At 40.1% G+C, this 19,179-nt stretch overlaps 1 long non-coding RNA gene across 1 annotated transcript; it reads left to right on the top strand.

The window, feature by feature from the left end:
- Window positions 1-798: 798 nt before the first annotated feature.
- Window positions 799-7,544, top strand: LOC105373686 (uncharacterized). The gene is made up of 4 exons (XR_002959484.1): window positions 799-872; window positions 2,496-2,649; window positions 3,631-3,701; window positions 7,507-7,544. It is a non-coding gene; the product is annotated as an uncharacterized LOC105373686 (long non-coding RNA).
- Window positions 7,545-19,179: the final 11,635 nt, after the last annotated feature.

Below are 19,179 nucleotides of genomic sequence, written 5' to 3'. Positions count from 1 at the left end.
AGAAGTTGGTAAACATATGTAATCAGGTATAGTTAAGGGAATAATTTCTGTTCTAAACCAGTCTAATTTTCTTAAGTTTTTAGGTTCTATGGATCCTACTCTGAGGTTCTAGGAAAAAAAAATTTTCTTCAACTTTCATAAGTTCTTTGTTGAAATGGAGCCCTGTAGCAATAGGCAGATTAATAAGAGAAAAACAAACAAAAATTTATTAACATATATATTTTATAAATACATGGGAAACACCCAGGAGATGAATAGTCTTAAAGAAGTGGCTTTGAATTCCAGATTATATGTATCATCAACAAAGAACAGTGACATTTTAGAGAAATGACAAGACAAAAGACAGGACTTTGAATCTCCAGCAGCAGCCAATGGTGGGCAGGCAGATAAAGGTGAGTTAGTAAAGCTTGTTAATGTAGATTCCTGTCATCCCATCTCCAGGCTGACATGTGTCCAAAGCTGTCTTCAGTGGTTAATTTTTTTCTCTCCCTGGTAGAGAAGGGGGTCAGGATACCTTTTATCTTTGTAAATCTGCTTCCTGCTTTTTGGCAAATAGAGGTAGGGCAGAGAGCTGTACTGCATCTGCTTGTTCTTAATTCAACTTAACAATCCTTCATATTTTGGGGTGGCATATTCTTGTCTCCCACAATGTATTAATGTTTTTCTCTTCTGTGTTTAAAATGCAGATGTGTTCTGAAGTCAAGAGTCTCTGCTTATGAGTAAGGGCTTCTGTGAAATCTCTGTTGCTGGTTAAGTTGCCCTGGACGTGACTTCTTTTTCTTTCCTACAGCTTTGTAGCTTTCTGCGTCTTTAGTCAGAGTACGCTGTTTACCTGGTTGGCTGCCTCTCTTATTTGGTCCCTTGGTGGCAGGGTAAGAGGGAATTAAACTTTGCTCATTTTGGTAGAACTTTTTAAACTTTCAGATACAAGCTGAAAACTGGTCTCCTATTTTATAGAAACATAGATATTACATTTTGCTTTCAAGGAGAATAAGTCTGTAGACAGATCTTATATAGTTGGGCACAGGAGCTATTACAAAATATGAGAACACTATTGTGACTGTTTCCTCTAATGGTCTCTTAGCCTTGCTTTGTTCCTGAATTTTCATCATGGTCTTAATTACTGGCATGGACCAAGTTATTGTCTCCCCTTACTCTCCATTCATAGGTTGACATCCAAACTGTCAATGTGATGGTATTTAGAGATGGGTTACCCTTTGGGGGTAACTAGGTTTAGACAAGGTCATGTGGTTAGGCCTTAGTGATAGGATCATGTTCTTATAAAGAGACACCAGAAAGCTTGTTCTCTGTCTGTCTCTGCCATGTGAGGACACAATGAGAAAGTGGCTGTCTACAGGTCAGGAAGAGAGCCTTTACCTGGCACTGAATCAGCCAGTACATTGATCTTGGACTTTCTCCCCTCCAGACCTATGAGAAACAAATTCCTTTTGTTTGAGTCATCCAGTCCATGGCATTTTGTTACTATAGCCTGAGCAGACTAATTCAGTAACCATCGTGTCATGATATTACTTTAAGGGGGAAAAAGAGTACACTTCTGTGTTGCTTAGTGACAGGGATATCTTCTGAGAAAAGTGTTAGGCAATTTCATTGTTGTGTGAACCTCATAGAGTGTACTTACCAACCTAAATGGTATATATATTTTTCATGTGAAAACCAAATATGCCAGCACCATTATTGAATATCAATCATTTCCCCTACTTGACCTGAAATGCCAATATGAAGTACCACATATCAGGTTTCTATGTATGCTCCGTTATAATCTTCTGAAACCACTGTTTTATATGCAATCCATCACTGATGGAATTGTTACGTGGTACGTGACTGTACTTTTTAAAACTGTGGTCAACATGAGCATCAGACTCTCTTACAAACAACCCAGCCATCTTTCTGCAATTAGAAGCATCTCAGGTACTTTACTCCTTAATAGTTTCATTTTATACAAGAGCCAGCAGCAAGAATCTCTCTTTGCAAGCCCCAGCTGGGGAACCAAGAGTGATTGTTTAGGCTGTGAGTGTTAGTGATGGTGGGTGTAATGGGAGGATGGGTATCATGCTGATATTGGCAGAGGGTGCAATTTGACTCATTTAACATGTATAATGGTTTGCACCCTGCATTAAGGATGGTGTGTTTTGAAACTGAGACTTTGAGGTAAATAAATTAATGAATACAGATAAAATATTGAAGCAGGAAATTTTAACATGTTAATGTCCATTTCTATTTGTGGTCATCCTGTACAACTTTAGAGACCAAATCTTATATGAGAATGTCAGTTTCACAGACACTTATGAGACTAGATGAATAGCATCTATATAAAGAAAATCTGAAAAATCCTTGACAAAATCACCAAATGGCAAATGCATTTACAATGGTCTGTAAGAAAAGGGAAAAGCATGAAGAAAACCTCAAATAAAACAAGGAAGAGCAAACAAAGGCTTACTAACATTCTCATTGCCATTATCTATCTTTTTTTCTAGGGCTAATGGCTCTATATAAGACATGCGCATTCATCTACCAACGACATCTGTGCAGAGCATGGAACAGCGTAGGTTTGTAATTGCTCGCTACCCTGAGCTAGGGAAAATGAACTTCTGACATTTTGGAGGAAACAGACTTAGCTTCTTTGGTAAGGTGAGGGTACCCTTGCTGCTTAATGTTCTAAGTTATTTTGTGGACAAACAAAATAAGTGGAGAAACTATATGTCTATTACTATTATGTTACTTATAGAAGCAGAGAAATCGTTTTCAAAAACATATATTTGGTTTATAAATATGCTTTCTAGGAAGGGCTCCAATTGCAAGTTTATAAGCACTTAATGTGTTAGCAGATATAAAACTGCTGGAATTCTCAAGGTTTTGTTGTGCATTAAGGAGGAGATGAATAGACTTTGATATCAGTCTTTCAGTGAGGAAAATTATATTCAATACTATGCAGGGATAATCAAATCCTTAGTGAAGAACTTTGAGGACCTTGAAAACGTATAAAACTGTGAACCCAAGCTCTTACTGGCATTTCTGATACAGCATATTCTTCCTTATCCTTGAAAGCCATACTCCCTCTCCAAGTAATATCTTAAGTTCATTCCTTTTGTATGGCCCTGTATCAGCTATTGCTCTGATCAGGGAGAAAATATTGATTTCTTTACTTTGTGACCCTGGTGGGAGCTCAGGAGTTATACTAAAAATGAAATATTGGTGGCCCTAGATGAAATGTGTCTCGTGGTCTGCTTTTGAAAATTGCAGTTAATCCATTTGCCTAGTGTTCCATTATTGGAACGCTAAGCTTGTGGAGTTATTTATATCCTGCTGCTAAAGGTCATCACCAAGGTCTGATTTTTCAGACAAAAAATTTGCAACCTCTGGCATAAATGGGTTAATCAGTGTGATAATATGACATTCGTCCCTATGTTTTCTGGACTTTTCATGACATGTATTTCCTCACAAAGATGAATGCCTCCAATAAAAATAAAAGAAGAACTGGTATAATATACAGTACCACAATGTACTGGTATCAACCACAGTACATTATTGCTTGCTTGTAGACTCTCCAGTGACAAAAATGCATTCAATAATAATTTAACAGATATTTATTGAACACTTACTTTATTCCAGGAACTGCATACACAGTGGAGAAGAAGACAGAAAAGGCTGTGGCCTGATGAAGCTTACATTCAGACAGACAAGTAAGTAAACAAATACATAAGGTAAATAGGTTAAAGCACTATTCAATGTTTTGTTTCAGTTATCTATTCTTATATAATAAGCCATCCCCAATTTAGTGCGTTAAAACAACTGTTTTCTCTCGATCTTTGATTTTGTAGGTCAGGAATGTGGAGAGGGTTTGGTTGGGTGATGAGCTCCAATCACAGCATCAGCTGGGATGGTAGATGAGTAGGATCTACCTCCAAGATGTCTACCACACTGACACATCCAGTGTCTTGGCAGTGTTGGCCTCTTTTTCTTGCGGTCTCATCTTCTAGGGCCTCTCCAGGTGGCTTGGATTTCCCAAAAAATTGTTGCTCAGGGTGATCATACTTTTTACATGATGTCTGGCTTCCAAAAGTCACAAAGCAAAAGTTGTCAAAATAGTTAAGGATGATTCTGACAGTGGTACGATGTCACTTCTCATGTAATTAGTCTCAGAGTTCACCTAAATTCAAGAAGGGGTTGAAAAATAGACTGCACCCTTAAATGGGGGGTGAGGGGAGGTGGCAAGGTCACACTGTGGAGCAGCAGGTGGGATGGGAGATATTTTAGTGTCTATCTTTGGAAAACACAATCTACTACATACTTGAAGAAGGTGTAACACGAAGAGGAGTGGATTGCAAGGTTGGGCACGGGGGCACTTATTTTAGTTGTGGTACCAGCCATGAAAACGAGTAGAGGAAGTTCTAGTTTGAGCAAGTCTATACAAATGGTCAATTGACATTCACATAATGCCCCATTAATGATACTGATGACAGTGATTGGATGAGAAGTGGCAAGCTGAGAAGCAGAAATTCACCTGGTCTTGTTTTTTTTTTTTTTTTTTTTTTTTTTTTTTGAGACGGAGTCTCGCTCTGTCGCCCAGGCTGGAGTGCAGTGGCGGGATCTCGGCTCACTGCAAGCTCCGCCTCCCGGGTTCACGCCATTCTCCTGCCTCAGCCTCCCAAGTAGCTGGGACTACAGGCGCCCGCCACTACGCCCGGCTAATTTTTTGTATTTTTAGTAGAGACGGGGTTTCACCATTTTAGCCGGGGTGGTCTCGATCTCCTGACCTCGTGATCCGCCCGCCTCGGCCTCCCAATTGTTTATCCATCTTCTCTGAGCATGTGCTTTAGTTCATTCTTAATCATTTACACTTTTCTTTTATGCCTAATTGTTTGCTGGAGGTGATACATTCCAACAGTGACTGCTTAGATATGGTTGTGGTGCAGGTTTTTAAATCCAATTCAAGCAAATGCAGGCATGTTATCAAGATGGATGTTACCTATACAATCTTATGTTCCAAATAACTAGAGCAGAGTTTGGTGTTGGCAGCACCGTGAGATGGAGCAGAGAGCCCATCAATGCCTTTTGTAATGATGTCCATGACAATCAAGGAGTGTTTTGTCCCTTAATGGTTTTGTAAAGTCAATATGGATTATTGATCCCAACTTATTAAAGGCTTCCTGGAAAGTTGTGTATACCATTGGTAGTTCATGAGGTAGTTCAACAATTGGGACATTCTTTTAGTTTTCCATGATTAGAATCCCTTCTAAATTACCAGTCCTTTTTCTACCTAATGCTTTCAAGTAAATAATCCTATGATGTGCTGCACAGCATCTGTTATATCAGTGGCTTTCATTTTTTTCTTCTTTTTGTGCATAAGTGTTTCTGGAGGTATTTGAAAAATGTAGACTCCCAGGTCTCACCTTCAAGGATTTAGATTCGGTTAGTCTGGAGTAAGACCTGGGCATCTGTATTCGGAATACATGCTGGATAATGCTGAGGTAGATGCTCGAAGGATTTACCACTTTGAGTTAGTAGGTTTATGATGGTTGGTGTCCACAGTAATTAAAACAATTTTTTGAAGGCTATATAATGATATGAAACCCAGAGTATACTCGATATAGTCAAGGACTATCATTGCACTTGACTGTTACATAATTCTGACTGGACTGAGGCTTCATTGATGTCTTTTCATTTAAGCAGACATTCCTTAAGTGCTGACAATGGATAAGGGACTATGGTAGGTGCAAAGACGGTCACAGAGATGAGGAACACATGATTCTTGTTCCCAAGGAATCTACAATTTTTGGCTTTTCATTAGTTTCTTTTCACTAATAACTATATTAGAGAATAAGTTAATTACTGCCAGGGAAGTGAGTTTGAATTTAACTCAATTCAGAGTTAGGAAATTAAAATGCCAATTTACCATCAGTTTGCTCTTGTGCCTTGAGCAAAATTGTTTGTATCTCTAGTCTTTATTTCTCTTACTTCTAAGATAAAGCGGTTAGGCCATACAATTATAAAATATTTTTGTACTTCTAAAATTCAATGTTAAAAACTTTATGTTAAAAAAGCCAATGAGTCAGGTGCAGTGGCTCACGCCGGTAATCCCAACACTTTGGGAGGCTGAGGCAGGTGGATCGCCTGAGGTCAGGAGTTCGAGACCAGCCTGGCCAACATAGTGAAACCTTGTCTCGATAAAAATACAAAAAATTAGCTGGTCGTGGTTGCGGGCGCCTGTAATCCCAGCTACAAGGGAGGCTGAGGCAGAAGAATTGCTTGAACCTGGGAGGTGGAGGTTGCAGTGACCTGAGATCGTGCCATTGTACTCCAGCCTGGGCAACAAGAGCAAAACTGCATCTCAAAAAAATAAAAACAAACAAACAAACAAACAACCAACCAAACAAAAACCAATGAACAAAAGAAGATACAAGAATTGCTAATAAGCACATGAAAAGATGTTCAAAATCTTTAGCCATTAGGGAAATGCAAATTAAATTTCAGTGGGATATCATTTCACATCCACTAGAATGGCTATAATAAAAAAGACAATAACAAGTGTTGGTGAGGATATGGAGAAACTGAAATTTTCATGTATTGCTGGTGTGAATTTAAAATGGGGGAACTGCTTTGGAAAACAGTTTGTCAGTTTTTCAAAAATTTAAATTTACTATGTGACCCAGCAATTCCATTGCTAGGAATCTACCCAAGAGAGATGAAAGCATGTATCTACACAAAGATTTGTATGCAAATGTTCATGGCAGCATTATTCACCATTGACAAAAGTGGGAAATAATCTAAATACCCACCAACTTGCTAATGGATTAAAAAATGATATATAACTATAATTGAATACTATTTAGCAACAACAAAAAGTATAGGTAACTGATGCCTGTTACAACATGGATAAATTTTAAGTGAAAAAAGCCATATGCAAAAGAGCACATATTGTATGATTCAATGAACATTCCATAGATGATATGTCCAGAAAGGCAAACCTACAGAGACAGAAAGCAGATTAGTGTTTGCCTGCCACTGGGAGTAGAAACAGCAGGGTGGTGACTGCAAATGAACATGAGGGAGCTTTTCAGAGGAATCTAATGTTCTCAAACTGGATTTTGGTAATGGTTGCAGAACTCTGTAAATTTATTAAAAGTAATTGAATTGTACACTTAAAATGGATGCATTTTATAGCATGTAGATACTATAAATGTTATATAAGTATATCTATTTAATTTAGAGTATATATATACATATATGTGTACATATACTCTCTATATGTACATATATAGATACATACATATATATACACATATATGTATATATATACTCTAGTCTCATATGGATCTAGTAAATTTCTACATCAGTCAAAGAGAGAAAAACATCATCTACATATATATCCTTTACTCCTGTTTTAGTCTATTTCGTGATGCTATAACAGAATACAAGAGGCTGGGTAATTTATGAAGAAAAGGGTTTGTTTTTGTTTTTGTTTTTGTTTTTGTTTTTGTTTTTAAGCTCACAATTCTGATGACTGGAAAGTCCAAGATCATGGCACTGGCATTTGCTCAGCATCTGGTGAGGGCCACGTACTGTGTCAAGACATGGTAGAGACATGGAAAGGTGAGTGGGTGTATAAATAAAGCAAACACGAGGAGGAACAACCTGCTCTTGTGGTAACCAATCTAGTTCCGTGAGAGTGAAAACTCATTCCTGTGAGATGACATTAATTTATTCATGAGAAATCTGCCCCTATGACTCACCTCCCACTAGGCCCTACCTCCCAATGCTGCTACATTTAGGAATCAAATTTCAACGTGAGTTTCGGCAGGGGCATACTACATCCAAACCACAGCAACCCTTTATATTCCTTCTCTATCTATACTAATAGTTTAAGCCCTATCTGAGGGGTAAACTGTAGAACACATGACTTAAAATGAAGGTAGTTTCATAGCTCTGACAAAATGATAACACCACAAGTAACATAATAATAAAATACTTATGATTTTTATTATTTTACTTTAGTTCCAATCCTTACATTATCTGATTTAAACCAAAGGAGCAACAAGAAATCAAAGCTTGGATTAAGAAAAGCATTGATCTGAAGGGACCAAGAACCAACTCATTTGCATTCATGGAGTGTTCTTTTAGAGTACTTGCTTTTACAGATAGACTGGTCCATCTGCAGTGAACAAGCAGGCCTGTTTACGTAGCAGTTGGCTTTCTTATAGTTCTAGAGAAATATCAGTGGTTGAGATAATTATACAGTGAGACTACAGTTATTGTGGGGAAATTGCCTTGTCAAAGATGGGTGTGCAATAATGCAGTCTCTGCAAAAAGCCATGCCACAGCCTTTTCATCACTTTATTATTAACTCCATAGTTACCAATTTATCATGGTAACTAGCGTACATTTTTAAAAAATATGAAAAGGTAAAAAAAACTCAACAACTATGTAACCTCAATGTTACAAATTTTTATACCTATTAGAGGCAAATTATTCTAAATTTTTAGTATGTCTATATCATTTTAGTTCTTTCCCCTTCCTTTTCATTTTTCTTACATAACCATGGTTACCACTCATTTGCTCATGCCATGAGATATTGTTGGAGGTGGGTGGGTAAGGTAATCTGAATTATAGAGGCAGGGAAGGTAAATTTCCTTTCTTTTTCTTTCTTGGATCTTATATATGTGTCACTTGAGTTCAATTTTTCAGCATGTATCTTTTTGAGTACTAGTTATGTACCCGAATGGTGATGATTAAGAAAGACTTGGTTTCTGGCCAGGCACAGCGTCTCATACCTGTAATCTCAGCTCTTTGGGAGGCCGGGGTTGGTGGGTCACTTGAGGCCAGGAGTTTGAGACCAGCCTGGCCAACATGGTGAAACCCTATCTCTACTAAACATACAAAAATTAGTCCAGCGTGGTGGTTTATGCCTGTAATCCCAGCTACTTGGGAGGCTGAGGCATGAGAGTCACTTGAACTGGGGAGGTGGAGGTTGAAGTGAGCCGAGATTGTGCCACTGCACTCCAGCCTGGGCAGTAGAAACTCTATCTCAAAAAAAAAAAAAAACCAAAAAAGCAAAAATTTGTCCAGTGTGGTGGTTTATGCCTGTAATCCCAGCTACTTGGGAGGCTGAGGCATGAGAGTCACTTGAACCTGGGAGACGGAGTCTGGTGGGGGAAGGGGAGAAACAGAAACATAAATGATCAGCACAAATGGTGTGAAAAATACTAGATAAATGCAAACTTGGGTACTATGGGAACTAAGGGGAGAGGATACCTACAGAATAAATCATGCAACCGACCTTGTCCATGGCTTCTCTGTGAATGACTTCTAGGCCTTGATGGTTCAATTGTCTTGTGAAATTTGTGCAACGAGACAGTCTTATATCTGTGCCAAGAAGTACTATAAATTCCCATTGCTTGAAAAAATATATTCCCCATGATTGGCTGACAATTTGCAATTACGTAACTAGGCATAAATAAATATAATGTATTCATATGAAGATATAAGTAATTGTGGGAGACATAATGTTTTTAGCTGTATAAATTCTTTAGCCTTAACTGTACACATGCTTTTTGGAAAGTAGGTTCAGGTGGAGGAGAGGAAAGAAAATCTGAGGCCCTCAAATACCTTGTTAAGTGGATAAGTGGAAGCTTGTACAACAAAATAGGAATAAAGATAACTGAGAAAGGGAAATGTGCAGGAGATCACCCTAAATTATTTCACAATTTTGCTTAAGAATCTCCCTCACACTACATATAAGCTCTGGCAAGCAAAGACTATTGCTGCTTTAAGTTAATGATGACATGGCCACAGAGAGGAACTTATGGCTTCAGTCAAAGCAAACCACATGGGTAATTCACTGGCCTCTTGCACTGTTAAGAACTGTGACATCCCTTCACTGTGACGTGACATTTGTCGTCTGACCTCATTCTCTTAAAATGGTTGCTTTCCCATTGGCTTTCTGGCTTCACTCCCTCTCAGTTTGGTATCAATATACATGGACAGCTTTCTGACTCAATCAGGGCTTGTTTCTAGTGTTTTCTTTCAGAAATCTCTTTGGTTGATAACCTAATTCTGGGAATAGTAGCAGTGATTCTAGGACCCCAAGAGACAAAGCACACTCGAGATTCTAGCTCCTAGGAATCATAATAGTCAATCATTAGATTAAGATCCTATTTTCATAATTCCTTTGACAGAGTCAGTGTTTCTTAAAGGGTGATTCCTGGGCCACCTGTATCAGAAATTACCTGGTGGGGCTGATTACAACTGTAGATTCCTGATTCTCTTCCAGAGCAGAATATCTAAGTGTGGGCCCTGGGGATTGTTACGCTTGCTCAAGTTTGAGAATCTCTGGGATAGCTAAAACAGCAAAGTTCCATAGGACTATAGTGTGTGAAAAATGATTGACAAACAACAGGACCCCCTAAAGGCTCAAGAGGGTCAACAAAAAAGAGAACTTCAAGGGCCTACTGAAGCACAGAAAGAAGAGTGCAGTCTGATAGGCATCCATTGGGCTAGAAGAGACTTTTCAGAAGACAGGGAGACCAGGGTAAATACCATATATTGAAGCTGCTGTCCCAGCAATGGACGGTTTATACAGATGCCCTAGGCAGAAGTGGCTGCTGATTCCACATCAGAACTGATTTTTTGTTTCATTCTTTTGGTGTTTACTGTACACTACTGTGTACTTATCAAAGATTGTTATCGAGGGGCAGAGAAATTTGCCAGGGCTTTGCCCTCAAGAAACTTGTGATCTAGTTGGGGAGCCACTTAGAAAGGAGTCTAAAATGGGCAAATTGATGCTAAGATAACATTCAATTAAGTGGAGTAAACTCAATGAAGTTTCTCAATGAAGTGAGAAACTGCATATGTTAGTGTGTTTACAAATAGTGGTTATGGCTCTGATCATCACTGTAGGCTCTTAGAGGAAAGGTCCAACTTGCCCTTCCTGTCAGGATCACTTGTCAGAATCATTATCTTTTAGGTAGTTCTACTGTGTTTTCTTCTGCAGACCTGTGGGCGTGTATGTTGCCAGGATCACTGGCAATGGTAGGGCAGTCTCATGAAGCTTCCTTTGTCGAACGCTTTCTTTGCATTGTTGAAGGGCAAGACAAGTCTTGTGCAACCTGCCAAAATGAATCACAATTCCCCTTGGACTCCACTCAAATTAAATTCCTATTTAGTTAATTAATTTGTTGCTGTCCTTGTTCTACCTCTTGCCACTGACTTTGTCCATATGGTGCTGGGTTACAGCATCTAAGAATCAGAGATAGGAATGCCAGACACTTAGTGAGAGCTCAGTAAATACTTGTGATTACCTCTATTATTGTTCTCATCTTCCTTTTCCCCGATATGCAAAGTTATGTAAGAATACAAAGACATATTTCTTCTCATGGAATCTTAGGGTTGGAGAAATTTCAAAAGTCACCTAATTTAATGTAGTTGATTCATATTGGAATCCTCTCCACTGTATTTCTGGATAATTGGATAAATATCCAATTAGGTATCCAATGAATCCTTCAGTCCTTTCTACCATATCCCTGTCTTCTGGGTCAACTCAGAACACTATTAGAGAACATGAAGAAACCATGCAACTTTGTGTCCTAGGGCTTGGTGTGAGTCCAAGTTCCCACAGAATTCTTCATACTGAGGGCCCAGGAGCTTGGTTTATTCTCAAATATGAAGCTACCCATGGCAGTCTTGTTATACCATGGCTCAATTTCCTCCCCGCCAAAAGCTGGAGTCTAGCAATAGAGCTGGACCATCCCGTTTTTGTTGCAAATCTCATTTCCCTGTAAATTTCCCTTCTTCAGCAGTACTTTGAGCAGGTCTTCAGTGCACTCCTCAAACACACTTCTGCTTCGTGCTTTTGGATACCTCATCTAGAGTGTGTGCGGGTGTGGGGATGGGGATTTGTAGAAGTGGAAACTGAAATCCACAAGCCCAGATGCATTGGCCTGGAGTCAGAACATCTAGATTCACATCTCAGCTCAGACTTGCTGGTGGCCTGAGCTGCTCACTTAAGATGCTTGAGCCTCAATCTTCTCATCTGTAAAGTGGGAACAATAGTAATAATTATGCAGTTTCAGGGAGGACTAAAAGAGATGGTGTGTGTTGAGTGCTTAGCCCTGCACCTGCCTCTCATAAGGAGCTCTTTTTAGTCCCTCATGAACTAAGACTTCCCCCGGGCTTGGCTGGAGTTGTGAAGTAGGGAGACCACAATGAGAATCATGGGCAGTTGTTTCAGCAAGTGTGCAGGGAATGGATATGAACTAGAAGTTTGCCCCTGAAGTCTCGTCATCTCAAGCCTTATCTTGTGCAAGGAGGTGAGGAGAAGGGCTAGAAGAAACTCTGGACCTGGACAAGATTGTGGAGAGGATCTTGTTCCTTTTCTTCATCTCACACACACCTGTTGCCCCTCCACCGCCTAGGACAGCCTCCTCCTCCTCCTCATTCTGCTATTTTTCTTGAGCCTATTTACTGCCTTAAATGTATAGTCTCTTTGGATTCGACAGATAAAAACAATAACAAAACAATGTCACTTTCTGTTCCTTATCATACGGCCCTAGATCCTTTGACAGCATAGAATGGTGGGCTTTGGGGTGGGGAGAGAGCCCACAGGCTGCATTCACTGTCTCTGCCCGAGTGCAAAGCTGCCAGTATCCATCTTGTCACACTACGTTTTTTTCTGACTCCCCAGCCTGCAGGGGCCAGGGTGAGTATTTGCATTAATGTCAGACATGGCCAGGTTCAATGTGAATTCTTGCGTGTCAAGCTGCTTATGACCTGCATCTTCACCCAAAAGGTTTCTCCAGTTTATTTTCCTTGTTCCACTGGAAAGATAATTCCAGAGGAATTATAAACCCGATCTTGAACATCCTGCAGACAAAGAATCCTTGTTTTCCTAAATAGGACAAAATTTGAAATATTGACATGAGTCAAGAGAGGAGGGGAGGACAGGTCAAGACACACTTTTTAATATGTTAGTGCTTTGCATTAGACAGGTGGGAGAAAGCAGTTATACTGTTTACATCAATTAGAAAAGATAATAGATGGAAAGTTTTGTGTCTAAGAAAAATTCCCTTTATGAGAAAATAAAGAAATGCATCCTTCCATTTATCTGACAGAATGATAGGACAGAATATGTCTGGTGAAACACATACTCACCGTTTCTGTCTGCACTCAAACACAAAACACTTCTTTGAACAAAGTGCCGGCTTTTCCCGCACATCAGTTCTCCACTGGACACCAACTGGGTGTGCTATAATTTAGTTCAATTCTGACACTGTCTACCTGGAGATAGTGTCAGATCTCACAGGTTAAAGGCTCAGTCCCACAAGAGTGCCCCACTTCAGATGCCAGTTGCAAGTCTGGGCCCCCAATACTTCTGACTGACTGACTATAAATCAGGGGTTCCCATGACCACCTCCTCCTAGTTTGCTTAAATTGTTACCCGAAAGGGGTCCTGATCCAGACCCCAAGAGAGAGTTCTTGGATCTTGTGCAGGAAAGAATTTGTGGCAAATCCATAAAGTGAAGCAAGTTTATTAGAGAAGTAAAGAAACCAAAGAATGGCTACTCCACAGGCAGATGGTTGGCTATTTTATGGTTATTTCTTGATTATATGCTAAACAAGGGGTGGATTATTCATGAGTCTTCTAGGAAAGGGGTGGGCAGTTCCTGGAACTGAGGGTTCCACCCCCTTTTAGACCGTATGGGATAACTTCCTGACATTGTCATGGCATCTGTAAACTGTCACGGCAATGGTGGGAGTGTCTTTTAGTAGCTAATGCATTATAATGAGGGTATAACGAGCAGTATAATGAGGAGAAGCAGAGCTCACTCTCATCACCATCTTGGTTGGCAGGATTTGGCTGCCTTCATTACTGTATGCTGTTTTATCAGCAAGGTCCTTGTGACCTGTATCTTGTGCCGACCTCCTGTCTCATCCTGGGACTAAGAATGCCTTCTCTCCTGGGAATGCAGCCCAGTAGGTCTCAGCCTTATTTTACCTAGGCCCTATTCAAGATGAAGTCTCTCTGGTTAAACACCTCTGACAGAATGGCCCCCCAAACTCAGGGAAACACTTTACTTACATTTACCAGTTTATTGTAAAGGGTACAACTCAGATGGAAAAGATTCATGGGGCAAGGTATGGACGGGGAAAGGGTAGGAAGCTTCTGTGCCCACTCTGGGCATGCCACCCTCCTTGCTCCTCCATGTGTTCAGCAACCTGGAAACTCATCAAGTCTCATGGTTCAAGAGTTTTTATAGAGTTTAATCTCCAGACTCCCCCTCCCTCTTCTTGGAGGTTGGTGGGTAGGGCTGAAAGTTTCAACCTTCTAATCCTCTATGCACTGTGTCTTTCAGGTGCCTGGCCTCATCCTGAGGCTATCTGGGGACCCCATCCTAAGTCACCTCATTAGCCCAAACTCAGATGATGGAAAGTGGCTCATTATCAATAACAAAAGATATTTCAATCACTCAGGAAATTCCAAGGGTTTTAGGTGCTCTGGGACAAGAATGGGAACAAAGCCCAAATATGTATCTCATTATCCACAATGTGCTGTGCCTGACACAGCCTCAGCCAAGGGAAATGAATGAACTTGGGAACCAGACAGATGGTTTTAAATCTTGACTCTGACACTTTGTGACCTTGACTAAATTACTTCATGTCTCTGACCCTCAGGAACACCACCTGTAAAATGGGGTGTGTATATGCCACCATATAGGGCCTTAATCATATAGACTAAGTAGCCATGGGGCAGTGGCCCACACCTGTAGTCCCAGCTACTCAGGAGGCTGAGGCAGGAGCATCACTGTAGCCCAGTATTTAAGGTGGCAGTGAGCTACAATCCTTCCACTGCACTCTCTAGCCTGGGCCACAAAGTGAGATCCCATCTCTTTTAAGAGGCCCTTGGCCCTCTGGAATTTCACTGATAATCACTGGCGTGAGGCATACACATTCATTTAACATGTACACACGAAAGCCTTCAGAACAAACACCCAACACCTCAATAAAGTTCAGAAGCTTATATACCATCTTGAGGTTAGAGACAGAAAGCAGGCCCAGAGCATGGCCAAAAACAGGAGATGGCGGTAAATCAAATTTCAGTAGCAAGACAAGTTACAGGAGGGAGAGAAGAGGATGCCTGGCTAGCAAAGGTGGTCTTGTTGTGTAGATGAAGACTCACTGGTAGCAGCCGTCAGAGACAACAGATGGTAAATGTTTATTTTCAGACCTTTCACTGTGTCCCACTCTCAGTTAATCTCTCCTAGATCCAGAAAAGTCCTAGAAAGTGAGGGCTTGGCTGGCATTAATGGAGATTCTCCACAGATGCAAATTATCCTTACCTGAGTGTGCTGGCTCTGCAGCAGCCATTTCAAAATATGTCAAAGAAATATATTTGGGGGTAAAATATTTTGATCTCCTTCACTTCCAAAGTCTTCTTGATGTCTAAATCAGTCTTACACACTGGCAGAAAAAGCAGCCACCTTCATCAAGCTATTTGAAAGGAACTAAGAAGTCTGCCTACTCAAAATTATATCTGCCTTTTTTCTTTTTTTTTAACTTAAAAGTGTATTTTTTTATTGTTAAACATTAAAAAAATTTTTTTTTTGAGACAAAGTCTCACTTTGTCACCCAGGTTGGAGCGCAGTAGCACAATCCCAGCTCACTGTAGCCTTGACTTCCCAGGCTCAGGTGATCCTCCCACCTCAGCCTCCTGAATAGCTAGGACTACAGGTGCCCACCATCACACCCAGACAATTTTTGTATTTTTTATAGAGACTGGGTTTTGCCATGTTGCCCAGGCTGGTCTTGAACTCCTGAGCTCAAGCAAACTGCCTGCCTTGGCCTTCCAAAGTGGTAAGATTACAGCATGAGCCACCATGCCCAGCTGTACTTAAATTAAAAAAAAAAATAGATGTAGGGAATACAAGTGCTGTTTTGTTACATGGATATATTTTGTAGTGATGAAATCTGGGCTTTTAGTGTACCCATGACCTGAATATTGTAGATTGTACCCATTAACTAATTTCTCATCCTTCACCCCTTCCAACCCTTCTGAGTCTTTAATGTCTATTATTCCACACTCTATGTCCATGTGTATACATTATTTAACTCCCACTTATAAGTGAGAACATGTATTTGACTTTCTGTTTTTGAGTTATTTAACTTAGGATAATGGCCTCCAGTTCCATCCATGTTGCTGCAAAAGACAGGATTTTATTCTTTTTTATGGCTGAGTAGTATTCTATGGTGCATATGTACCACATTTTCTTTATCCAATCATCCATCGATGGATATTTAGGTTGATTCCAAATCTTTGCTATTGTGAATAGGGCTGCGATTGTGATGCAAGTGTATCTGGTTTCAAAGCAGGAAAGGAATACAAACTTTTGGCAACTTAGCATGGGTTAATCTGTTTGAAGGGGCAGGAAAGAAATGGGGCACAGGAAAGATGTGCTTAATTGGGGAGAGGAGGTAAGAAAAGAAGCAGAGGATGGAGAGCTACCTGGGAGGAGAGGTCTGGGAGAAGCCACAGGGGAGCCTCACAGACACCATGGCAAATAATGAGGAAGGGGAATCCAGGTGAGCACGCAGAGGACATGGACCCCACAGACACTGACGTGGGGCCTGCCGTGTACAGACATTTATATTTTATCTTATGTGCTTATATTCCTATGTTTATGTTTTCGCTGCTGAAAATGTAAATAGAGGTAAAGAGGCTGAAGCTTTTATTTTTTCTTTCTTTCCCTTTTTTTTAAAACACCAAAGGTTACCTTTTGGTGAATGATCACTTAGTATGCACTTAATGGCACCACAGTGTCCAATTCAGCCCATTAGAATGAATAGTATTTCCCCAGGAGAACTTCATTCACTCTAGCTTGATGGCATTAGGAAATAATTTCAGCTTCTAGGCAGTATATATTCCCCTCCCCCATCTCCTTTATTGCCATAAATACCAATGCAAGAATTTAAACAACGAATCCAGGGCTATTTTATTTTGCTCATCATTACTATTCATATACACAAATACACACCTCATACCAAATTATACCAAAAATAAAAGATGACAGTGAACAGCTACATATTAACGTATTTGCACAGAGTGCTGGCATAGTCTAAAAACTTGGGTTTATGTTGTTAATAAAGCATGATTGGTCTAAGAAATATCAGTAACGTTCTAGACAGCTTCTTGTTAATGTCTGAAAGTATTTCTGCATCTTATTTTCATTAGGAAAAGAGAGATGTAACAATTTAGGATTTAATGGTCAAATGATGCTGTTACTACCCAGATACTGTCATTTCTGCACCATGACTATGCTGATGGATCTTTCCAATTTTGTCACTTCCTTCTGTATCATTATTCCTTCAGCTGGTTAGTTTCTGGCTTTCACATCAGCCCCAAAGAAAAACACTTAAGAATGCTCACATTTCTGTCACTAATCTTTGGCTTATTAGATCTTTTCTTATAATTGCATTTCAGGGGCTCTACCGAGTTGCTGGAATAGTTGGTGTGTGTCAGATATTATCGTAAGACTTGGGGAAGGTAATCCTGGGCTTTACAAGGTAAGACAAATGTGGTATGGGAGAAAAATAGATTGTTGATGGTGAGGCTTACTAAGAAACATTTGTTTTCCTTCCAGCTTTGGTTGTTAAATTAAATTATGACTTTGAGGAACAGGAGCCCTAAATTCTTTCTTCCTGACTTACAAGCATATTCAGCTAGGATTTTATGCTGGGTCCTTTCCCTCACTCTGTCAGTGGCTGGCACCCCGATGAAGACTGCTGTCAGCTTAAGATAAATCATATTTCAAACATATTTTTTTTTTCAGATTGGGCAGCCAAAATTAGTGCAAGGAATGTCAGTCTGTTGCCAGATCTGTCAATATAAAGTTTAGATCACAGTTAACTGGTGCCAGTTTAGTTAACTACCTGACAAAAAAGGCTCATAATATGCCATGAAGAATCATTTCATTCTTAAAATGATAGATGCTCAAAGCCAGCAGGGATGCTGAAACTGACACTGGCCCTTTCAAAAAGGACTTGATAACATTATGGAATAATGGAAAGAAGGGAAGCTTGACCTGGAAATAGATGAAGGTTGAAAAATCCTACCCTTATTTTATACAACTTATCTGCTAGTATATATATAAAAAAACACACACACACTTGACTTGAAGCCATACACAGATTGTCATGTGGTAAAATAGTCTCTTGGTTAATTCAATCTGCTTCTAAGAATTTTGTTGATATTCCAAATTCCAGAAGGACAGAGTTCAGACTCCAGATGGTTTAGAAATAGATATGTTTCGTTGTATTTGTTAGAGTAGGCTCATCTGTGCTAACAAATAGAAGCAAAAAAATGTAATGGCTTATACCCAGTTTCTTTCCAAGTCTTTCATGAATCCCAGGCAGATGTTTCTGGTCAGCTGGTGGCTTTCCTCCATGTGGCAATTCAGGGACTCATGCTCTTTTCATCTGGCAGCTCTAGCATCCTACCACCAGTCTAGACCAGTGCTTCTCAAATTTCAATGCATATATGAATCACCTGGGGGAGCTTGTTAAAAGGCAGATTCTGTTTCAGGAGGTCTGGAATGGGACCCAAGATTTTGCGTCTTTAATAAGCACTGAGTGATGCCAATGGGGCTGGTTCATAGACTAGACTTTGAGAAGCAAGAATCCACATGACCTCATCATCAACTGCCTCTAGCTGGTGGAAGAGAGAAGAGCATGAAGCACATGGGGGCTTTCTGTTGGGCTGGCTTGGAAGTGGCAATTTGCTATCCTTCTCTGTGAATGATGATACCTGGCATCTATAAATAATTCTTCTTTTGAGAAGTCTGAAACTGATTTTGAGCACAGTCTCATTTATCTTGTGAGTTAGAAATAAGTTTGGGTCACCATTTCCACCCCTAAAACACTTAGGTATTCAGAACATATGTGGTCCCTGAGTGGCAGGTAGAGTACCTGCAATGCAGCATTGTGTTGCCAACACCAGCTTTTTCCTGGAGCCCTCTGTGGTTTCACCTCACTGCAGCTCCCACAACTTGTCTCCCGGCTCCTCTGTTGTTATTGTGGGATTCGCCTTATCCCTTAATGGAATAGAGTTTTCTTACAGCCCTATGCTGTGTTTGTATTCATATGGTGCATTTGTCCTCAGAGGATTCAAGATCC

This window comes from Homo sapiens, chromosome 2 (genome assembly GCF_000001405.40).
Source record: "Homo sapiens chromosome 2, GRCh38.p14 Primary Assembly".
NCBI classification, from domain to species: Eukaryota; Metazoa; Chordata; class Mammalia; order Primates; family Hominidae; genus Homo; species Homo sapiens.
This window is presented reverse-complemented; position numbering and strand designations above follow the sequence as displayed.